This window comes from Homo sapiens, chromosome 20 (genome assembly GCF_000001405.40).
Source record: "Homo sapiens chromosome 20, GRCh38.p14 Primary Assembly".
NCBI classification, from domain to species: domain Eukaryota; kingdom Metazoa; phylum Chordata; class Mammalia; order Primates; family Hominidae; genus Homo; species Homo sapiens.
Window position 1 is genome coordinate 31,309,087 of NC_000020.11, and position 21,928 is coordinate 31,331,014.

Consider the following 21,928-nt stretch of genomic DNA (forward strand, 5'->3'; position numbering starts at 1 on the left):
TGCCCACAGAACACCAGAACTTATTCCTCCTATCTAACCGAAAGTTTGTACCCATTGACCAATGTCTCCCCTTTCCCCATCCACCCTCCCTCGAGGCTCTGGTAACAACCATGCTAATCTCTACGTCTATGAGTTCAATTTTTTTAGATTCCACATCTAAGTGAGATCATATGGTATGTGTCTCTCTGTGCCTGCTTTATTTCACTTCACATAGTGTCTTCTAGGTTCATTCATATGATTGCAAATAACAGAATTTTCTGTTTTTTAAAGGCTGAATAGTACTCCAGTATCTATAGTTAATAATAATGTAAAGAGCTAAAAGAAAGATTTTTAAATGACCTCATCACAAATAAATAATAAATATTTGAGGTGATGGACATGCTGATCTCTCAATTAATTGATCCCTTTATTATTATATAATGACCTTCTTTGTCTCACTTTGTGGTTTTTTACCTAAAGTCTATTTTTTCTGTTGTAAGAAAAGCTGTTCCTGCTCTTTTCTGGTTTCTTTTTCCATGGAACATCTTTTTCCATCACTTAACTTTCAGCCTATGTGTTTCCTTAAAACTGAAATGAGTCTCTTGTAAGCAAAATACAGTTGAGTCATTTAAAAAAATCAATTCAGCCACTCCTTCAATTGGCAAACTGAATCCATTTACATTCAAAGTAAGTATTGATAGGTAAGGATTTACTTTTGCCATTTTGTTCATTCTTTTCTGGTTATTTTATACATCCTTTGTTCCTTTCTTCCTCTTTTGCTATCTTCCTTTGTGATTAGATTATTTTCTATATTAGAATGCTTTGATTCCTTTCTTCTTATCCTTTGTGTATCTACTGTCAGTTTTTGCTTTGTGATTACTATAAGGGTTACACAAAACATATGTTGTTATAACCGGCTGTTTAAAGCTGATAACCACTTAACTTTGGTTGCAAAATATGATTCTACATTTTTATTGTATCTCTCCTGATAATTTATGTTTCTGATGTCACAATTTACTGTTTATATTGTGTGTATCCCTTATCAGATTATTGTAACTTATTATTAATAGTTTTGTATTTTGTTTTATACTCAATATATTAGTGACTTATCATCTTTACAGTATTAGAGTATTCTGAATTTAACTGTGTACTTACTTTTACCAGTGAGTTTCATACTTGCACCTGTTTTCATTTTAGTTATTAACATCCTTTCCTTTCAGCTTGAAATATTTTCTTTAGCATTCCTTGATAGACTGGCCTGGTAGAAATGAACTCTCTCAGATTTTGTTTGTCTGTGAAAGTCTTTATCTTTTCTTCATTTCAGAAGCAAGGACTTGCTCAGTAAAATACTTTTGTTTGGAAGCTTTTTTCCTTCAGCATTTTGAATATATCATCTCACTCTCCTGACCTGTGAGGCTTCAGTGGAGAAATTGACTGACAGCTGTATTGAGTCTTTCTTGTATGCGATATGCTTCTTTTCTCTTGCTTTTTTCAGAATTTTTTTCTCCCTGATTTTTGATAGCTTGAGTATAATGAGTCTTGGCTAATTGGTCTTGAGAAATCAGTATCTATGGCAGCCATAGCCTTATGAAATGCATTTCTTAAATAATAAGACCCGAAAGTCAAAATTATTCCTTGATCCATGGGCTGTAAGTGATTATTGTGTTAGCCAGCATAAAACCAACGTTAATCTCCTTTTACATCTTCATCAGAGGTCTTGGGTACTAGGTACATTGCCAATGATCAGTGATATTTTGAGAGAAATTTTTTTCTCGGCAGTAGGTCTCAACAGTGGGCTTAAAATATTCACTAAACCATGCTGTAAACAAATGTGCTGTCATCCAGACTTTGTTGTTCCATTTTTGGAACACAAGCTATAGCTTTAGCATAATTCTTAAGGACCCTAGGATCTTTGAAATGGTAAAAGAACATTAGTCTCAACTTTAAGTCACCAGCTGCATAAGCCCCTAGCAAGAGAGTCAGCCTGTCTCTCAAAGCTTTTAAGCCAGGCATTGACTTCTCTTCTCTAGCTATGAAAGTGCTAGATGGCACCTTCTTACAATAGAAGGCTATTTTGTTTACATTGAAAATCTGTTGCTTAGTGTAGACACCCTCATCAATAATCTTAGCTAGATCTCCTGGATAACTCGCTGCAGCATCTACATCAGCATTTGCTACTTGACCTTGAATTTTTTTTCAGAAGGTTGTTTTATAACTTTATTTGGTGTATTTGATGATCAACAGTTCTTATCCACATTGACTTTCTGTAGATTTTTGAAAGTGGTAACAGGTACGCAGGTAACCAAAGTATAGAGCTTGTTTGGTGAATCTTCATCCTCATTACATTTTCTGGACAACTGTACATGGATATGGTATAGGACATTCTTTATTCCTTAAGCCCAAACAGCTTTGTTGAACCTGATATCAATCCTCACATTTGGAGACCCCATCTCTTCATGGAAAATTTCTGGATCTCATTGAGTGCCTGAGGGGCACACTTTAAAAAAAATTTTTTTAATTATACTTTAAGTTCTAGGGTACATGTGTACAACGTGCAGGTTTGTTACATATGTATACATGTGTCATGTTGGTGTGCTGCACCCATTAACTCGTCATTTACATTAGGTATATCTCCTAATGCTATCCCTCCCCCCTCCCCCCACCCCACGACAGGCCCCAGTGTGTGATGTTCCCCACCCTGTGTCCAAGTGTTCTCATTGTTCAATTCCCACCTAGGAGTGAGAACATGCGGTGTTTGGTTTTCTGTCCTTGCGATAGTTTGCTCAGTTTGATGGTTTCCAGCTTCATCCATGAGGGACACACTTTTTAAAGTTCACTCCATGGATGCACTTGTGAATGTCGATGGTGTACTTCCAGGTCACCACCTCACTGATGGCAATCTGTCTTCATGAGGCGTTAGAGGTTGATGTTCTAACAAACATAAAAGCAGGCAAGCAGTAGTACTCAGCTATTACATGAACTTTTAAATTAGCCATATCTTTACATAGATATAGTCAATATCTATACTGATAGTAAATATGTGTTTGGGGCATGTCATGCTACAGACCAAATTTGGAAGAACAGAGTCTTTCTAACATTAATGAGAACAAAATATCACACATAAATGGACTGTTGATTTGTTAGAGTCATTGCAATTTCCCCAACAGATTTATGTTCATTGTAGAACTCATAGATAAGATGAATTATCTAAATAAATTTGCATGAAAATAGCTACTAAGATTTGGACTGAGGAAATTGAAGTCCCATCACATCTATGGGGAGTCCTATTCATGGTTTCAGTAATATGAGACTCCCCCCAAGTTAGAAAATTAGACATCAAGGAAAGCTAAAAAGAGCACCACAGAAAATATGAGAATTACCCAATGAGATATTCCTGTACTGGTTTTTCATGCCATCCAACCAGCAATATCACTTAAACAAAAGGAATATACTGAAAATCTTGGAATCTTACCACTCCTGTAATAAGGTCAAATAATTCGGTAAATAATACGAGCATGTGCTGTCTGTCAGAAAATTTCTTTACAGGGAATACCTACAGTAAGCCAAGGAAGCCCACTCAGGCCAAAGTTCCCAGGACCCGGTGGCAAATGAATATTATAGAGCTTCGGTCATCACAAGCTAAGAAATACTCTTTAGTATGATGCCTGGATGGACAGAAGTATTTGCTTTGGCTCAAGGAAGTGCTCAAATAGTGATCAAGGCCTTACTAAATTATGACATCCCAGTCTTCGGAATTCCTGAACATAGAGAATCTGACATGGAAAATCATTCTCCCTGTGGCAAATCAGGGGCTCAGTAAAACCCTACAAATACCAATAATTTATACTTCCTATCATCCCCAGTTTTCTGGACAAATGGAACAAATGAAACTTACTCTAAGGAATTATTTGGCTAAACTATGCCAGGTGCAGTGGCTCACACCTGTAATCCCAGCACTTTGGGAGGCCGAGGTGGACAGATCACTTGAGCCCAAGAGTTTGAGACCAGCCTGGCCAACATGGCGAAACCCCGTCTCTACAAAAAATACAAAAATTAGCTGGGCATGGTGGAGAGCGCCTGTAATCCCAGCTACTTGGGAGGCTGAGGCAGGAGGATCGCTTGAACCCAGGAGGCAGAGGTTGTTGCAGTGAGCCAAGATCGCGCCACTGCACTCCAGCCTGGCCAGCAGAGGGAGACTCCGTCTCAAAAAAAAAAAAAAAAAGAAAGAAAGAAACGAGAAAAGAAAAAAGAAAAAAAAACCATTTGGCTAAATTAAATGAAGCCACTGGCTTACAGTGACTCAGAGCCTTAGTATTTGTTCTATGAAACTTAAGGTTAACTCCCTGTAGCAAGCATGATATTTCTCCTTTTGAGTTAATGTTTGGAAGCGCTATGTGTTTAGCAGTGAAGCCTAGCCTGTTACTTTATACGAAGGAAATCACAGAGTTTTCTCATTTCCCTAGGCTTATTACGCCATCGTGTGGCCAAAAGATGGAAGAATCCCCCTGAAACGGTATGTTGCTAATACAGACTAGGAGACAATCTACACTGAACTTACCCAATGGCAGGCTAGATTATCATAGTGCTGAGAAGGACACTACCAAGTGTTGCTGGTAACTCACATCACTATCACAGGAAGGAGCAACACACCTGGATACGTGCTTTACCTGTGAGAAAAGCATCAGTGACTGAATAGACTGTAACTCTACTATTAAAGTTACAGTCTCCAGAAAGTTTGACTCATCATTGTTTTGAGATCTGTCCATGTTGTGTGGAGATAGCAATTGTTCACTCATTTTTATTATGGCATAGTGTTCCATTACCATAACTAATTTATCCATACTACTGATCATAAGCATTGGGTTCTTTCTAGTTTGGGGTCATTATAAATAATGCTACTATGAACACTCTTGTTCGTAACTTTTTATGCACATATGTAGGCCTTTCTATTGGGGAAATTGAGAGGTCATAGATATGCATGTGATCAGCTTTTTAATCTGCTGTCAAATAGCTTCCCAAAGTGGTGTACCATTTTAATACACCCCCACTGATACTTGATATTGTTAATCTTCATTAAGTTTAGCTAATCTCTGTGTGTAATGATAGCTCATTACAGTTTTAATTTGTATTTCCTTAATGACCAGTGGAATTAAGAGCTTTTTCATATATTTATGGGTCATTCGGATGCTCTGTTCAACACTTTGGCTTTTTTGTTCTTGGAGTGCGTGTCTGAGTTTTTCTTAATGAATTGTAAAAATTCTTCATGTATTCAAGACACAAGATCTTTGTTGGTTATAGGTTTTGAAAATAGCTGTCACAATTTTGTGGCTTAACTTTTCTGCCTCTTAATGACATCTTTTGTTCAACAGATGTTCCTAATTTTAATGAAGTCTAATTTATCAATCTCTTTCTTTACAGTTGGTACATTCTGTGTCTTAAGAAATCTTTACTTACCCCAAGGTCTTAAACATACTTTCTTATGTTTGTTCTAAAAACTTTATTGTTTTATTATTATTATTATCTACATGGAACTGATTTTAGGTGTGAAGGAAAGATCAACTGATAACCATTTATTGAAAATACCATCCTTCTGCCATTACTCTACTGTTCTACTTTTCTCATGGAATCATACATGATTAGATCTCTTTCTAGACTCTATTTTGTTCCTTAGTTTCTTTATCTTTGCATCAGTAGTACATTTTACTAATTACTATGGCTTTATAATAAGTCTTAATATCCAGGAATGTAAATTCTCTAACTTTGTTCTTCACAATTATATTGGCTATTCTTTGCCCATTTATTTCTATCAATCTTTGAATTTGTTTATCGATTTCCACAATCTGTGGAACTAGCTCCTACTTTTTAGTCCTTGAATTTATTTCTTATTTTTTCCTAAAAACAAGGGCAGGCTCTCCCTCCACTGTTGTAATAAATATTTGCATTATTAATGAGAGTCCTTGGTTTTTTTTCCAATTTTTTTTTTTTTTTTTTTTTTTGAGATGGAGTCTCGCTCTATCAGTTGCCCAGGCTGGAGTGCAGTGGCACGATCTCGGCTCACCGCAACCTCTGCCTCCTGGGTTCAAGCGATTCTCCTGCCTCAGCCTCCCGAGTAGCTGGGACTACAGTCACCCGCCACCATGCCCGGCTAATTTTTGTATTTTTAGTAGAGACGGGGTTTCACCGTGTTAGCCAGGATGGTCTCGATCTCCTGACCTCGTGATCCGCCCGCTTCGGCCTCCCAAAGTGCTGGGATTACAGGCGTGAGCCACTGCGCCCGGCCTTTTTTCCAATTTTAAAGGGACTGTACCTAAAGATCCTTGAATAAATCTAACATTTGCCACAAAATTTTGGCATGTAATCTTTAGCATGTTTGATAGTGCTCGTCTCTTCCTAATTAGCTAAATATTCTATTATACTTAATTTTTGAAATTTATAAAATATTTTCTATGTATCATTTAAGAATCATATAATTCTTCTTTTTTCTATTAGGCTAGAGATTTACATTGCTAGAGTTTCTGTTGTTATTCATCCTCATGGCTTCCAGATAGATCCTAATTGATATACAGGAAGTATATTTTTAACACAGTATTAGGTTCCATTATTCACTATTCTATTTGGGATTTTGGCATATATATGCAGAGGAGCTACAGCCTATTGTTTCTCTTTCCTATTGTTTTTACCTGCCTTTGAAGTCAAGATAACACTGACCTCCTAAGATCATTTAGGCAGCTTTTACATTTCCTCTATTTTCTGGAACAATTTGTGTAATACAAGAATTAACTGTTCCTTCAAAGTTTGCTAGATCTAAGGGTATTATACAATTCTTCTATAATTTATGTAACTAGGACACATTTGAGAATAAAGGGGGTATTAATAATAATTATTCCAAGACAAAAGAACTTGAACTATTTTAAGCAAAGCAAAGTAGAACTCAATGTTAATACTTTATGAGTCTGAGACTTAGTGGGAGGGGGAGGCCTGTCAGTACCATTTCAGTGTCTTTATGCTTGGTTGATCTTCTCAGGTTTGCACTTCTTCCAGTGCTAGTCTTGATGGGCTGTATTTCCTTTAAGTATTTTTCAAATGTATCATGTATATTTCCTCATAATAGAGTTTTATTATTCTTAATCTCTGTGGTGTCTATAGTTATTTCCAGCTTTTTAACTGTTTTTAATTATTTCCATTTTTTTCTTGATAAGATTATCAAAAATCTATTTATCTTTAGCAAGAATTAAGATTCCAGTTCTGTTATTTATATTCCAGGGTATTCGTTGTTATTATAGTCCATTGGGTTAAACTCAATGAAATGCCTGAACTTATTATGTCATTTCTCTTGGTTTCTCTAGATATCCTCTTGCTGTTTTTCTAGCATCTAAAATTTAATGCTTAGCTTATTTTTAAACTAATATTATTACAAAAGGGGTATATTTTATTGTATGTTAAAATACAGATAAGCAAAAAATGAAACAATAAAAACACTATATCACTATTACCTAGAGATTGCCACAGTTAACATCTTATTGTATATTACTGGATCTTTTTCTATGCATAGATTTTATTAAAATGAAATCTCACTACACATTGTTTCATAATCTGCTTTGTTTCATTTATAATCTTCATTTTTCAATTTTAACGCATTTTGTTCATATTTAACGCCCAGGCTATATTCAAATTTCCCCAATTGTGCTAGAAATGTTCCGTGAAGCTGGTATGCTTAAATGACTGAATGTGATTTATTTATATCCCTTTGATCTCTTTCAGTCTAGCACAGTCCCCATTTTGTCACACTGATTTGTTGAAAACATTGAGCCAGTTGTTTTTACACTGATCCACCTTCTGATTTTCTAGTTTCCTTTTGCTTCCTCACCAATTTATTTTGTACGTAGGAAGTTAGTTCTTATGGCTTTATTGATGTACACTAATAATCTTGGCAAAAATGTATCAGAGCTGAAGCTGTGTTCTTTATACTGCATCACATCAGAAGTCATTTAATATCTGGATGTCCCTTGCTATTCAGATTCACAAGTGAATTAAAGTGACGACTGTCTGGTCTTTTTATTGGACAGTGTTGATTTTTCACTTTCATATTCAAATTGGTCTGTATGTTGTTACTTTTGCCAAGTAACAAATATCTGGTTCCATGTCAATCACATCCTTAATGGTTTTAACACAAATTATGGTCCTTGCCTGAATCAATAAATTCTTTAGGCGTTGCAGAATACAATTCAGTAAAATATAGCTTTCCCTCATCAACAAGAGCTATTTGATTACTAGAAATACAGCTCTTACTGGAGAGGCAGGATAAATGCTTAATTCTTTCAAATTACTTATTGGTCTTTGAAGTAAGTAGTTTGCTTAGTAGCTGCTTCAAATGGTGACATATGAGTTTTTCTGGTTATCCCATCTCTGAGTATCTTTAGACAATCATGCCTTTTCATTGATTCATTGTATTCCAGTCCATTTTATTTGTTACTATTTTTGATGCTCAAATTGTTATAACCTTATCAAGTAGAGATTTCCTCTGGCTGGATTATATATCCCTTTACATGACCCATTCGTTTTTTAAAGCTTTGATGATTTCTGCACAAGAAAATGTCCTGGGCTCACACTGTAAGTCCACAGCACTAGACCAGGGTTCAGCCATTTTTCTAAATGGCCCTGGTTGCTTTGAGTGAAGACTTGACTTGCAGACCAAAATCTGGGCACTTATGCTCATTGCTAATACGGTGCTATTGGTTCTAGTCAATTTAAGTTGGAAAAACTAAAATATTTACATTTTAATGCTTGTGAGGTTTCTGGATTCTGTTTAGCCACCTAAATTTAGGTCTCCTTACAATACTCCAAAAGTCATATATATCATATGAATCAATAAGAAAAGCATATAAAATTATCCATAACAAATGCCTACAATATAATCAAAAGACAGAGCTTCCATATATACAATTATAATTTGTCAAGTAACAATGGCAAATAAATAAGGCAGATATTCTTAGGTTATTCATTATGTTGATATGTGATAAGATGTCCCATATCACTCAGCCTGTGATAATATTTTATAAATGTTCTTGTCTCTATTTGAGAACAATTTGTATCATTTGGATGCAGTGTTCTGTATATTAGATTAATCCTACTAACTGGTGATTACCACATCTATATTCAGAGGAGGATTTCTAAGTCCCCGACTTTAATTATGGATTCATCCATTCCTCTTTATTTCTGATGATTTTTATTTACATATATTTCCATGCTGTATTAATAAAGGTACAAAAATATGTTTGGAAAACATGTCTTCCCAGTAAGTTGAACATTTTATCACTACGCAGTTATACTTTTTATCTCAATAATGCTTTCTTTCCTGGAAGTCTATTTTGTGTGATATTAATTTAGCTAAACTGCTTTCTTTGGGTTAGTGTATTTCCTATTCATTTCAACTTTATTTTTTTAATCCCAAATACTCATCTCCTAATTTATGTGCAATTTTAATTTTATCTTATTGTTTTTGGTTAAGAAAAATACTATTGTTATTATTTTATCAATGAATGATTGCAAATTTGCCACATATTTACAAGTATTGACCTTCTGTCTAAAGCTTCTCTCTTAGAATTTCCTTTGGTGATAGCCTATTATAGAAAATTCTCCTAGATTTTATCTGAAAATATCTACAGTATATCTTCATTCTTAAATTACAATTTCATTAGGTGTAGGAATATATGTGAGAGTTATTCTTCCTCAGCACACTGAAAATATAGTATCATTGTCTTCATGCTTTCTTTGTTGATGCTGAAAAAGTTGCTGTCAGTCTAATATTTGCTCCCTTGCAGGTAATAGGACCTTTTTCTCTAGCTGGTTTCAGATCTTCTCCTTGTTTTCATTATTCTACATTTTCCCTGTGTTCTATCTACATGTGCATTTTTCATATTTACCCTGGTTTTGATTTATTAGGGTTTTTTTTGAGTCTGAAAGATTGGTGTTTTTCATCAGTTCACAAGTTCTCAGTCATGTTAACTGGTACTATTACTTCTGCTCCCATTTTCTCTCCTCTTTCCTTCTAGAATTCCAAATAAACATGTTTAGGACTTCTCACTATATTTTCTATGTCTCTTAACCTCCCTTTTATTTTTTTAATCTTTTTGTCTATCTGCACTAAATTCTGAATAATTTCTTCTGAATAATCTCTTAATTCACTAATTCTCTCTTCAGCTATGTCTAATGTAATGTTAAATCCAAGTTTTTATTTTCACGTTATTTCAAGTTATTTCTATTTATTTTTCAGATCTGCTTCCTTTTTTTTTTTTTTTGTGATGGGGTCTCACTCTGTCAGTCAGGCTGGAGTGCAGTGGCATGATCTCAGCTCACTGCAACCTCCACCTCCCTGGCTCAAGCAATCCTCCCACCTCAGCCCCCTCAGTAGCTAAGACTATAGGTGTGCACCACCACATCCAGCTAATTTTTTGTATTTTGGTAGAGACAGGGTTTCATCATCTTGCCCCAGGTGGTCACAAACTCCTGAGCTCAGGCAACCCACCCGCCTCGACCTCCTAAAGTGCTGCGATTACAGGCATGAGCCACTGCACTTGGCCAAGATCTGCTTGCTTTTTATTTATAATTTCAAGTCTTGATTTTTTCTTGAAACATATTAAAGATGATTATTTTTTCTTTTTTTTTTTTTTTTTTGAGATGGAGTCTTGCTTTGTCACCCAGGCTGGAATGCTTTGTCACCCAGGCTGGCCCAATCTCATCTCACTGCAACCTCTGGCTTCTGGGTTCAAGCGATTCTCCTGCCTCAGCCTCCCGAGTGGATGGGATCACGGGGACATGCCACCACGCCTGGCTAATTTTTTTTTTTTAGCAGAGAGGGGGTTTCACCATGTTGGCCAGGCTAGTCTTGAACTCCCAGTCTCAGGTGATCTGCCCACCTTGCCCTCCCAAAGTGTGGGATTACAGACGTGAGCCAATGTGCCCAGCCATAAAGATAATTACTTTCTATTCTGTGACTGACAACTTCAATATCTGAATTGTTCCAGGTTTGAGTTTACTATTTATTCTTTCTGCTGCTTCTCATTCATAATGCTTTATTTTCTTGAGAGTTTTGTGATTTTTGTCTGCGAACTGATCATTTTCTTTAAACTTTTTTAAAGAGGTCTAGGATTAAGATGAGTTCTTCAGAGAATATTTATGTTTACTTCTGTCAGGCAACTAAGGGCATTACCAGTCTGGGCCTGTGTAAATTAGATTCTCAGCTTTAGATTTTTCATATCATCAGAGTGCCATGATTCAGGCTATATACTAAGTGAGGGCCTGCTTGGGATTACAAAATCTCAGAGGAGACTCCCTTGCACACACACACCCAATCTTCTCATTAACTAAATTAAAAACAGTTCATTTTCCTTGCAATCCAACTGGGGAGTAGGGATTGTTTCCAGCTCACTGTTATTGTAAAGACGCAATTCTTTGAAGTCCCATATTGATGCAGGAGTCTCTTATTAGGTTTTTTACCACTGGTACTCTGGATAGTAATTTCCATTTCTCAGTTCCATAAGGCCATGAAAAGCATAACTCAAGTTCATATGGTTCAGGAAATACCCTCAAGGTGGAAACTGTTTCAGTGTTTCTTTTCCTAAAAGGACTCCCTTCTCAATTCAATTTCTTGGTTCCATATTATTTAATTTTTGCAAGCTTATGAAATCATTTAAGAAAATATGAAAAATATCCATTTTAGAGATGTTTTCAGCAGAAAAGTACTCACTCTGCCATGGAGTTCAAGGCAAATGCTTAAGCCCAATGTTAAGCTTTGTTGCTCAGCATGGCTACTAGGGAAAGAAGATTCTTTCTGCCTATTCTTGAAATTTGGTTGCTATTTGACCAGTATCTTCTCTTTTGCTTTTTCTAAACAAGTCTAAATATGTCTGAACCTCAAGGTTATGTGCAACTTGAGTTTTTTTCAAACTTAGGTTTCTTTATCCTCTTATAAATTAGACAGTGTCACTTTATAATCTCCTTCAGGTAAGTACTTTACTGCCCATAAGATTATCTCATGCCCCACCAGAGAAATCTTTGAACTAAAGAAGTAATAAAATATTTTCCCAGTGTTGGACTTACCTTTTAATTTGTGTATGGTACATTTTGCCATAGAGAAGTAATTAAATTTAAGTAGTTAATTCTTCATAGCTGTTTTCTGGTTTTGTGCTTACAAATTTCCAGCAAAGTCTCTCTAAATAGTAAGTAATAAAGCCAACATTCATATCCCAAACCCTCAACTATATCCATTGTACCACACCATCTCTACATATAGTGAAACAGCTGGAGAAGGCTGACTCCTTTCTAGATAATGCCAGTTGCAGCTGCGATATCCATTGTTCTATAGGTTTTTGTGGGGGGTTTTTTTTGTGTGTTTTTTTTTTCCTTTCTAATATACCAGAGGTGCATACCATTATCTTGGTCCATACAAAATTTTTGGCATCTTTATAGCCCTCTTTAATGTTTATTTATTGTAATGTTTTTATTCATTTATTTTAAAAATAACGAGTCCTTCACAAATACAAGAGCTAAAATAGCATCAATAACTTAAATTTAAATACTCCTGTATTCCTCTAAAATCCCACACATCCTGCCTTTCCTTATCCACTCCCCAAGAATTTAACATATTTATTTGTATTTCTAAGTAGCATAATGGTAATTTTTATTGTTTAAAGTTTAATTTTGGGGAGAAAAATAAAACTGGGAAAAAAATAGTTTTATTTTTAAAAGAGGTAACAAAGTCTTCTTTGGTATGCATAGTCTTCTAAGATTTGTCTTTTACAATCCATAATATATTATTATTATTAAAATTCAACTATTGTGTGTAGCTGAATTTTACTTCTTTTCCCTGATATGTAGCTCATTCTTTGAATATATCACAATTTATTTATCTATTTGCCTGTCAAAGAACATTTATGTTCCTTACAGTTTGTAGCTTACCTTTTTACTTTCTTTTGGGTATCTTTTGATGGACAGAAATTCTTATATTTTTACATACTCAAACTTATCAATGTTTTCAATATAATTTTCAATACAGTGCTCACATGAAGACTCAGGTTATATATACATAAAATTTCAAGTGCACCCGTTTTCATAAAAGAAATGGAGTAAGTGAATTCCTCCACAGCTGTCACCATAAGTTCTCAGCATTTTAGTCTATTGAAATTCCTCCACAGTGATGCTCCCCTTGACAATACATTTATTTATTAGCACTCATTTCATGCTTATCCTTCTATGAAGGGCCAGGTATAATAAATTCTTCAGTACCTAAATAAACTAAAAATAATTCCAATATATAAACAATGCTCAAAGTCATCCCTTGTTTATAAGTATTTGAATAAACTAAAAATTATTTCTTCTATTTTCTTTGGATCAGGATGGCAGCAAAAAAAGGATATTTTTTTTCTTCGCTGAAGTTTTGGAAAGAAGGAATGCCTTTGTGTCAGGCTAGTATATGGCCTCCCACAGAAACCCAAAACAGTAGCTACATCTGCTGGCCTCCTGGTAGATCCCAGAAAACTACCAAAAACTTTTACAGTCCTTGCTGCATTTGAATCACAGTGCCCCTGTATGTCCCCTCCCACATCCAAACAGACAGGGGACTCCTCCCTGCTGCCTGGCATGCCTTCTCAGCAGGCCTCACATAGATAGGGAGAATAAGTGCTGCAGGGAGCCCTCCTCAGAATGAAACTCAAACCTGATCTAATTCCGCCCCAGTCTGAAGGGATTGCCCTCTCCCAATCGCCCTGAATAGGAAGACCACTACGAAATACTCAAAACTCTCTCAGAATCCACCAGAGCAATGGGCAAAATGCTGACACAGAGAGAGGTGCAGGAAGGTAGTCTCTCTCTCTCTCTCACTCTTTCCATCCGGACAGAGACACACGGCTGCATCACCCAAAGCAAATGTCAGTACCTTTTTTAAGTTCCTTATTACCACGGTTTTTTGGGTAATACTTTGTATCGCCATCAGACTTTGTATCGCCAACATCAATTTATTTTCACTTCTAATATTTCCTCATTGCTCAGTCTGATAGTCAGAAGAAATCTTCTTTTGAATTTCACCATTGTGTGTGACCCACTGAATGCCTGTGTGAAGGTCACTTTCCTTTCTGAGGCTCAGTTTCCCCATCTTCGTCTTCTTCACAAAACAATCTACAGGGTATAACAGTGTTGGTGGGATATTTTTTAAAAAGAAAACAAAAACACTGGCAGTGATTAGTTCCCATATGTAGAGAGAATTGAGGAGCAGCGCAAGAAAAAAGAGAGTCTGGATGAGGGAGACGAGAAGGACAGAAAGATGATTGTGTTGACTTTGAAATAGTGGAGGGATGTGAGAAACTACTCTCAGGGTATTCTTGTGGAAATGCTCAGCTTCAAGAGGTGCCCTCTCTGATCATACCAGCCTTTTTCTTCCTCTAGCCAACTTCCAAATTCTAACATTTGAACCATTCAGTGCCTATGAAGTTCTCACCCAAGGAATTTGGGAAGTTATGGAGAAAGGCCTCTGGATATTTTCATTTGGAGGAGGGAACAGAATAAATTTTAATAGACCCCGATCTACCTGATTACGTGGCTCCATTTAAGCCTAACACAGATTCAAGTTCCACACAACTACAGACCAATCCCAAGTTCTGATCACTCACACTTTTGTTCAAATTGAGCCTAAACTCTGTTTCCATCTTAACTCCAAACTCCAACCCTACTCTACCCAAGGTCTATCCATGTTTAACCCCAAGACAACCACAACCTAACTTTACTACCACTAGCTCCAGTTCAGCCCATCACCCTGCCTAATCCCTATATCCAGATTCATTTGGCCATAAATTTCACCCCCTCTCCAGACTACCTCATACCAATCCTAATTCCCCCAATACAACTCCTCACCTAGTATTTATCCCGAACCATCTTCCAAATATCTCCCTAACTGCAAGCTCCTCTTCCCACTGTTCAACAAAATTCATCCCTGGTGTCCAATATCTCTCAGAGATCCCTACCCCTCCTCAACTGGGACTCAATCTCTTGCCCTTAACCCTTCATCTAATTGCATATTGTATGAGTCACAGTTTTATCAGTTATCTTAACAGGGATTATTTAACATTTAAGTGTAATATTAGTGTTCATATTAATAAATTTAATATTAACTTTAATATAAAGATTTGTTATATAGGCATTTAAGAATTGAAAAAAATAAAGAGGACACTCAGCTATCACAGATGTAGCAACTGCAGGAATCAGCTACCAATTCCAGGGTGGGAATAACAAGAAAAAAGGTTGGAACCATTAAAAATAAATTAGAAGCTTGGAGGAAGATACCTGCTGAGCTGAATTTCAGATCTCTGAGGAAGGAGCTCTGCTCAGCTAGAACTAGTATCTATGAGGCATCATGAGGCTGGCTGTGTTGGAAAATTGCAAATTGGATTCAACTGTGCTAGAGGAATGCCCTCCCAGTGTTGGGGTGAAGAAGCAAGAATGAGTGATGCTGTTGGCAACAGGAAATAAATAGGAAGCCCTTAGGAAGTAAATAGGAAAGAGTTCTTCCCCCTCCAACTTTGAAATGTGCTCCTGGCACCGCCTATTGGCAGAGCTTAAGGAAACATTCTGCAAAGGAGAACCCCTGTTTGTAGTGTGCTAGCCTCAGCATTGCAAAGTAGAGCATAGACGGTTGGATGTGAAGCTGACAGACAACAGGCAATAGCATATTAAGTGACAAACATATCAGCGCCAGCCTTGACTGACACATGCCCAAGTCTTCCACCCTTCCACCACTGCAAAAGCAGCAACCTCTTAAATCCACCTTGGCAGAAAGCCACAAAGAGATGCTAACATGAAATGGACATGGGGATAACTTCATCAAGCTGCCTGAAACCAGGCTTCAGTTGCTGGCCACCCTACACAAGACCAGAATCCTAAAAAAAGACCAGAACTCCAGCACACTTGAGAGAGTCCTATATTATTTGAATTCCATGAAGCAGATTGACAAAGATCAGGATATGAAACTCTGTGGCTGCAGGGTCCCAGGAGAAGTAGGTGACTGATTTATGAAGGATGCAAAATAATTTTTGCAGCAAGTCTGAACTCTGACTATATTAGCTCCTGAAGCATGGTGGGGTATTGGTCAGCAAAATATAGAGAGAGGCAATTTATCTGAAGTCAACATAACAGAGATACAACATTTAATATATATTCCATCTAGACATTGGAATGGGAAAGTGAGATACTGGCCAGCATCCATAACAAAAGTGGGCTTTCTCTCCTGGTAAAAGAAAATCATTTGTCCTTTCAGAAAATGAGTAACAAAATAGCTAAAGCCCTCGCCTATTAATAATTACTTTAAAGTAAATGAATTAAACTTCCCAATCAAAAAGGGAGAGTATATGAATGGGTTAAAAAAAAAAAAGAGTCAATGATATGCTGTCTACAAGAGACTCACTTTAGATTTGTGGGCACACATAGACTGAAAATGAAGGGATGGAAAAAAAAAATACTCCATGTAAAAGGTAACCAAAAGAAAGCAAGGGTGCAAGGATGGCTATACTTATATCAGACAAAATAGACTTAAAGTCAAAACTATCTCTAGGGACAAAGAAAGTCATTATAATGATAAAAGGGTCTCTAGGGACAAAGAGAGTCATTTATAATGATAAAAGGGTTAATTCAATAGAATGATATAACATTTATAAATATAAACCTACCCAACACCAGAGCACATAATTATATAAACCAAATGTAGACAGATCTGAAGGGAGAAACTGGCAACAATACAATAATAGTAGGAGACTTCAATACCCCACTTTCAAAAATGGATGGAATATACAGACAGAAAAAATCAATAAACAGCTGACTTGAACAATATTATAGACCAAACGGACCTAACAGACATAGAACTTTCTATTCAATAGCAGAGGACTACACATTCTTCTCAAGTACACCTGAAACATTCTCCAGAATAAATCACATGCTAGGTCACAAAACAAGTCTTCAGAAATTTAAGAAGATTGAAATCATATCAACCATCTCTTAAAAAAAATAGGTGGCCGGGCGCGGTGGCTCACGCCTGTAATCCCAGCACTTTGGGAGGCCGAGACGGGCGGATCACGAGGTCAGGAGATCGAGACCATCCTGGCTAACACGGTGAAACCCCGTCTCTACTAAAAATACAAAAATTAGCCAGGCATGGTGGCACGCACCTGTAGTCCCAGCTACACAGGAGGCTGAGGCAGGAGAATGGCGTGAACCCGGGAGGTGGAGCTTGCAGTGAGTCGAGATTGCACCACTGCACTCCAGCCGGGGCGACAGAGCGAAACTCCGTCTCAAAAAAAAAAAAAAAAAAATAGGTATAGGAGGAACTTAACACAATAAAGCCCATACTGAATCTCAACAATGAAAAGACCTCGACACTGAAGGCTCTCAACACTGAAAAAGCCCTTGGCAGACAGCCACAAAGAGATGCTAACATGAAATGAACATGAGGATAACTTCATCAAGCTGCCTGAAACCAGGCTTCAGTTGCTGGTCACCCTACACAAGACCAGAATCCTAAAAAAAGACCAGAACTCCAGCACACTTGAGAGAGTCCTATATTATTCATAATCAATGAATTGAAAAACTAACATAATCAATGAGGATAAACTGGAAGTTTTTTCTCTAAGATCTGGTACAAGGCTAGGAGGCCCACTCTTGCCGTTTCTACCCAATACAGTATTAGAAGTCCTAGTCAGAGCAATTAGACAAGACAAAGAAATAAAAGGCATCCAAATTTAAAAGGAAGAAGTAAAATTATCTCTGTTTCCAGATGACATGATCATATATATAGTAAACCATAAAGACTCAACAAAAAAACCCTGTTAGAACTAAGAAACTAATTCAGTAAAATCGCAGGATAAAAATCAACATACAAAAATCAGTGGCATTTCTATGCACAAACAATCTGAAAAGGAAATTAAGACAACAGTTATATTTACAATGGCAACAAAAAGCATAAAATACTTAAGAATAAGCCTAATCAAAGAGGAGAAAGGCTCGTACAGTGAAAATTATAAAACGTTGCTGAAGGAAATTAAAGAAGGTACAGGTAAATGAAAAGACCTCATGTTCATGGACGGGAAGAATTAATATTGTTAAAATGTTCATACTACCCAAAGTGATCTAGAGATTCAATGCAATCCTTATCAAAATTCCAATGCCATTTTTCACAGAAACAAACAAAAACACTAAAATTCATGTGGAATTACAAAAGACCCCAAAAAGAACAAATCCATCACACTTTCTGTTTTCAAAATATATTACAAATCTACAGTAAATGAAACAGCATGGTACTCACATAAAAACAGACAGATAGACTAACAGAACAGAATAGAGATTCTAGAAACAATTCTACACATTCAGTCACCTAGTCTTCAACAAGGATGCCAAAAACATACCCTTGGGTAATGGGTATTTTCTTCAACCTATAGTGTTGTCACCCTCATAGAGGCAGAGCGTACAATGGTGGTTGCCACGGTGGGGGAAGGGGAAAATGGGGAGATATTTGTCACAGGGTACCAAGTTTCAGTTATGCAAAGTAAGTTCTGAAGATAATATGCAGTATAGCGATTACAGTTAGTAATATATACGTGATATTTGCTAGTACATGGTAAGTGTTCTCACCACAAAAAAAAAGGAAAAAAATAGCAACTATGTGAGGTAATGGATATTTTAATTAGCTTGATTGTGGTGATCAATTCACAATGTATACATATATCAAAACAATTGTACAATGTAAACATATAAATTTTTATTTGTCAATTATACCTGAACAAAGCTAAAAAAAAAAAATTTGTTATCATCCCTCACAAAAAAACCATTAGTCCTTTTGTGTAAGACACAAATAATAATGAAAAGCGTTTTTTAAGAAACCCTTTAAAATAATAAATTGTCCTTCCCTCCTGTTGTGTAAGAGCTATGGAGCACTTATGCATTCAGCCTTGTGCTAAGCACCATAGGAACAAAGAAGAAAGCAAAGAGATGAGAATAAAAATTGAGGGTAGCAGGAAGAGAGGGAAGATGACAAAAGCAACTACTTTGTGTCAGGCTCTGTCCTAAACCCAACGTGGGCAGTAAGTACAGATATAGATACAAAAATGGAAGTTCCAAGAGAGGTGTTAACCTTCCCAAGCTCATGCAGCTCCTGAGAACAAGGATGGGAATGCAGATTTATCTGAAGTCTTGAACAAAGTACATTTTCTTCACAGAGTCAGGGTAGGATGGAGGACAGTAGAAGAAATATTTATAAAATAATAATGTATCAATATTTTCTTAATACTCATTATTAATTTAAATGTGTCCAATGTTGGTTTAGATAAGAAACCTCTGGGGTCATCATACTTGTTTGTTCTGTTTTTATGGGAGGAGTGGGAAGATCCAGTGATTGCCATCTGGTTTTTTATCTTTGAGAAAAGATAAAATATGGCAAATATAATAAATAGGACAACCAAGTGGAATTACAGACCTCAAGAAGGTTAAGGTTAACTTCACAGGGCAGAGCAACAAACTTTGAAGTCTGGGTATTTTACAAAACTTCTTTGTTAGCATGAATCTTCAAAAGAATAGTTTTATCAACCTGAATATTACCTGCTTTCCTCACAAACTGCATGGGAGCGGGGAACATTTTCTCCTTGTTGAAATTTACTTCACCAACAGTGAGTAGAATTTATAGTTTCAAGGACAGGTGCTGGAATCTCAGTGATCACTAAGAGGGGGACGGAGATGCAAGTTTAAAGCTTACAATATAGAAAAAGACAAAAGAGAGTTTTTAATAAACAAAATATGAGCATGTCATGTTTTACATTGATGGTGCCCCTCTCTGTTGCCACTCAGTGGCACTTTACTTAGACTTGAATTTGTAGAAGATATTTTAGCTCCTTTTTTTCAGATTTATTTTTCCAGTATGCATTACTCCTTAATATACATGTAAGAACTTTTAATTTTCATTAGTAAAGGTTGCAAATTATGCAGCATTCTATAAGTGTCACTGCTAAATTTGAATGGTTTCTTCCAGCTCCATTACAATACTGTATATTTTAAAGGCAAGAAAACAGAAGTGAATAAGTGTTAAATTTTTTTTCCTTTTTGAGACAGAGTTTCTCTCTTGTTGCCCAGGCTGGAGTGCAATGGTGCAATCTCACCTGACTGCAACCTCTGCCTCCCAGGTTCAAGTTATTCTTCTGCCTCAGCCTCCTGAGTAGCTGGGATTGCAGGCTTGCACCACCAGACCTGGCTAATTTTTGTATTTTTAGTAGAGACAGGGTTTCACCAGGTTGGCCAGGCTGGTCTCGAACTCCTGACCTCAGGTGATCCACCCACCTCAGCCACCCAAAGTGCTGAGATTACAGGCGTGAGCCACCACACCCAGCTGATGTCTCCAAATATTCAGAATCCTTCTATATATACTTTCCATTTGCCAAACCTCTTCCATCAGGGCCCATTCACATTCGTCTTTTCATCCTTCACATTCCCTTTTCTACATTCAAGTCTTTCTGAAAACTTCTTTGCCTCTTAATCAGATAACTCTCACTGCCGATTTCTCATTTATATGCAACTTTGTACAAGAGATTGGTTCAATCAATTTATGTCAAGTCTTTGTTCTCCTGAAAGACACCCAATTTGGATAAGGATTTGTAAATTGGGGCTTCAAAGCCACCATCATCTGCAAGACTCAGTCCAGCCAATAAATTATAACTTAATAAATCATTGCATGCATTCAAAAAAGAAAATAATAGAGCTTAATCTTTGAAAATCCATATCTGTCCTTAGTCTTCTTTCAGTCTCATGGACAGCACAAGTCTTGGCCACTCTAGCTACCCACGGTTTTTTCAGAGTGTCCACTAGATTTAAGCAGTCAACAATAAGATGTTTCCAGAAAGGTCACACAAACTATACATATCAAAATATATGCTGTGTTGTACCACCCAGGTGCCCATAAGGACTGAAGCTTTCATTTCCCCAGCAGCCAGGAGTGCTGGCTGCTGACAATTCACAGCTGAGTCTCTCTCTCCGGGAATTTCCCTCTACTGAAAGAAGCGGCCATAACCAAGATCTCCACCTTCTCCCCAGGAAGAGCCCTATAGCCAATATCTGGTCAAAGAGAAGGTTCAATGTCCCCCAGCTCCAGCTGAGGCCTCTGCTGCAACTGCATTCTATTTTTTTTTTTTTAAGACAGAGTCTTGCTTTGTTGCCAGGCTGGAGTGCAGTGGCGCAATCTCGGCTCACTGCAACCTCCGACTCCCTGGTTCAAGCTATTCTCCTGCCTCAGCCTCCCAAGTAGCTGGGATTACAGGCATGCACCACCACGCCCAGCTAATTTTTGTATTTTTAGTAGAGACAGGGTTTCACTATGTTGGCCAGGATGGTCTTGATCTGGCCAACTGCATTCTAATTTAACTTCTCCCTCTGCCCAATCCTGCTTCTTCATTTCCTTACAGATGTCGTATGAACCTCCTACATGAAAATCTCTCCCAATCTGCTTTCAGAGAACCTAACCCAAGACACAACTCCTGCAAGAATGTTTCAGTCATTCAGAAGATCAAAAGAAGGTTTTAGGCCAGGTGTGGTGACTTACACCTGTAATCCTAGCACTTTATTAGAGAGAGATGGGAGGATTGCTTAAGGCCGGAAGTTTGAGACGGGCCTGGGCAATCTGGCAAGACTCCATCTTTACAAAAAAATTAAAAATTAGCCAGGCATAGTGGTATACATCTGTAATCCCAGGTACTTGGGAGACTAAGATGGGAGGATTTCTCGAGTGCAGGAGTCCACGGCTGCAGTAAGCTACAATTGTGCCAGTCCAGCTTGGGCAATGAAAGGAGACCCTCTCTCTAAGGAAAGGAAGAAGAAGGAGAAGGAGAAGGAAGAAGGAAGAAGAAGAAGGAGCAAGAGGGGAAGGGCAGGGGGA

General features: G+C 37.1%; 1 pseudogene; it reads right to left on the bottom strand.

Moving 5' to 3' along the window:
• RPL31P3 (ribosomal protein L31 pseudogene 3) lies at positions 2,179-2,479 on the bottom strand (annotated as a pseudogene).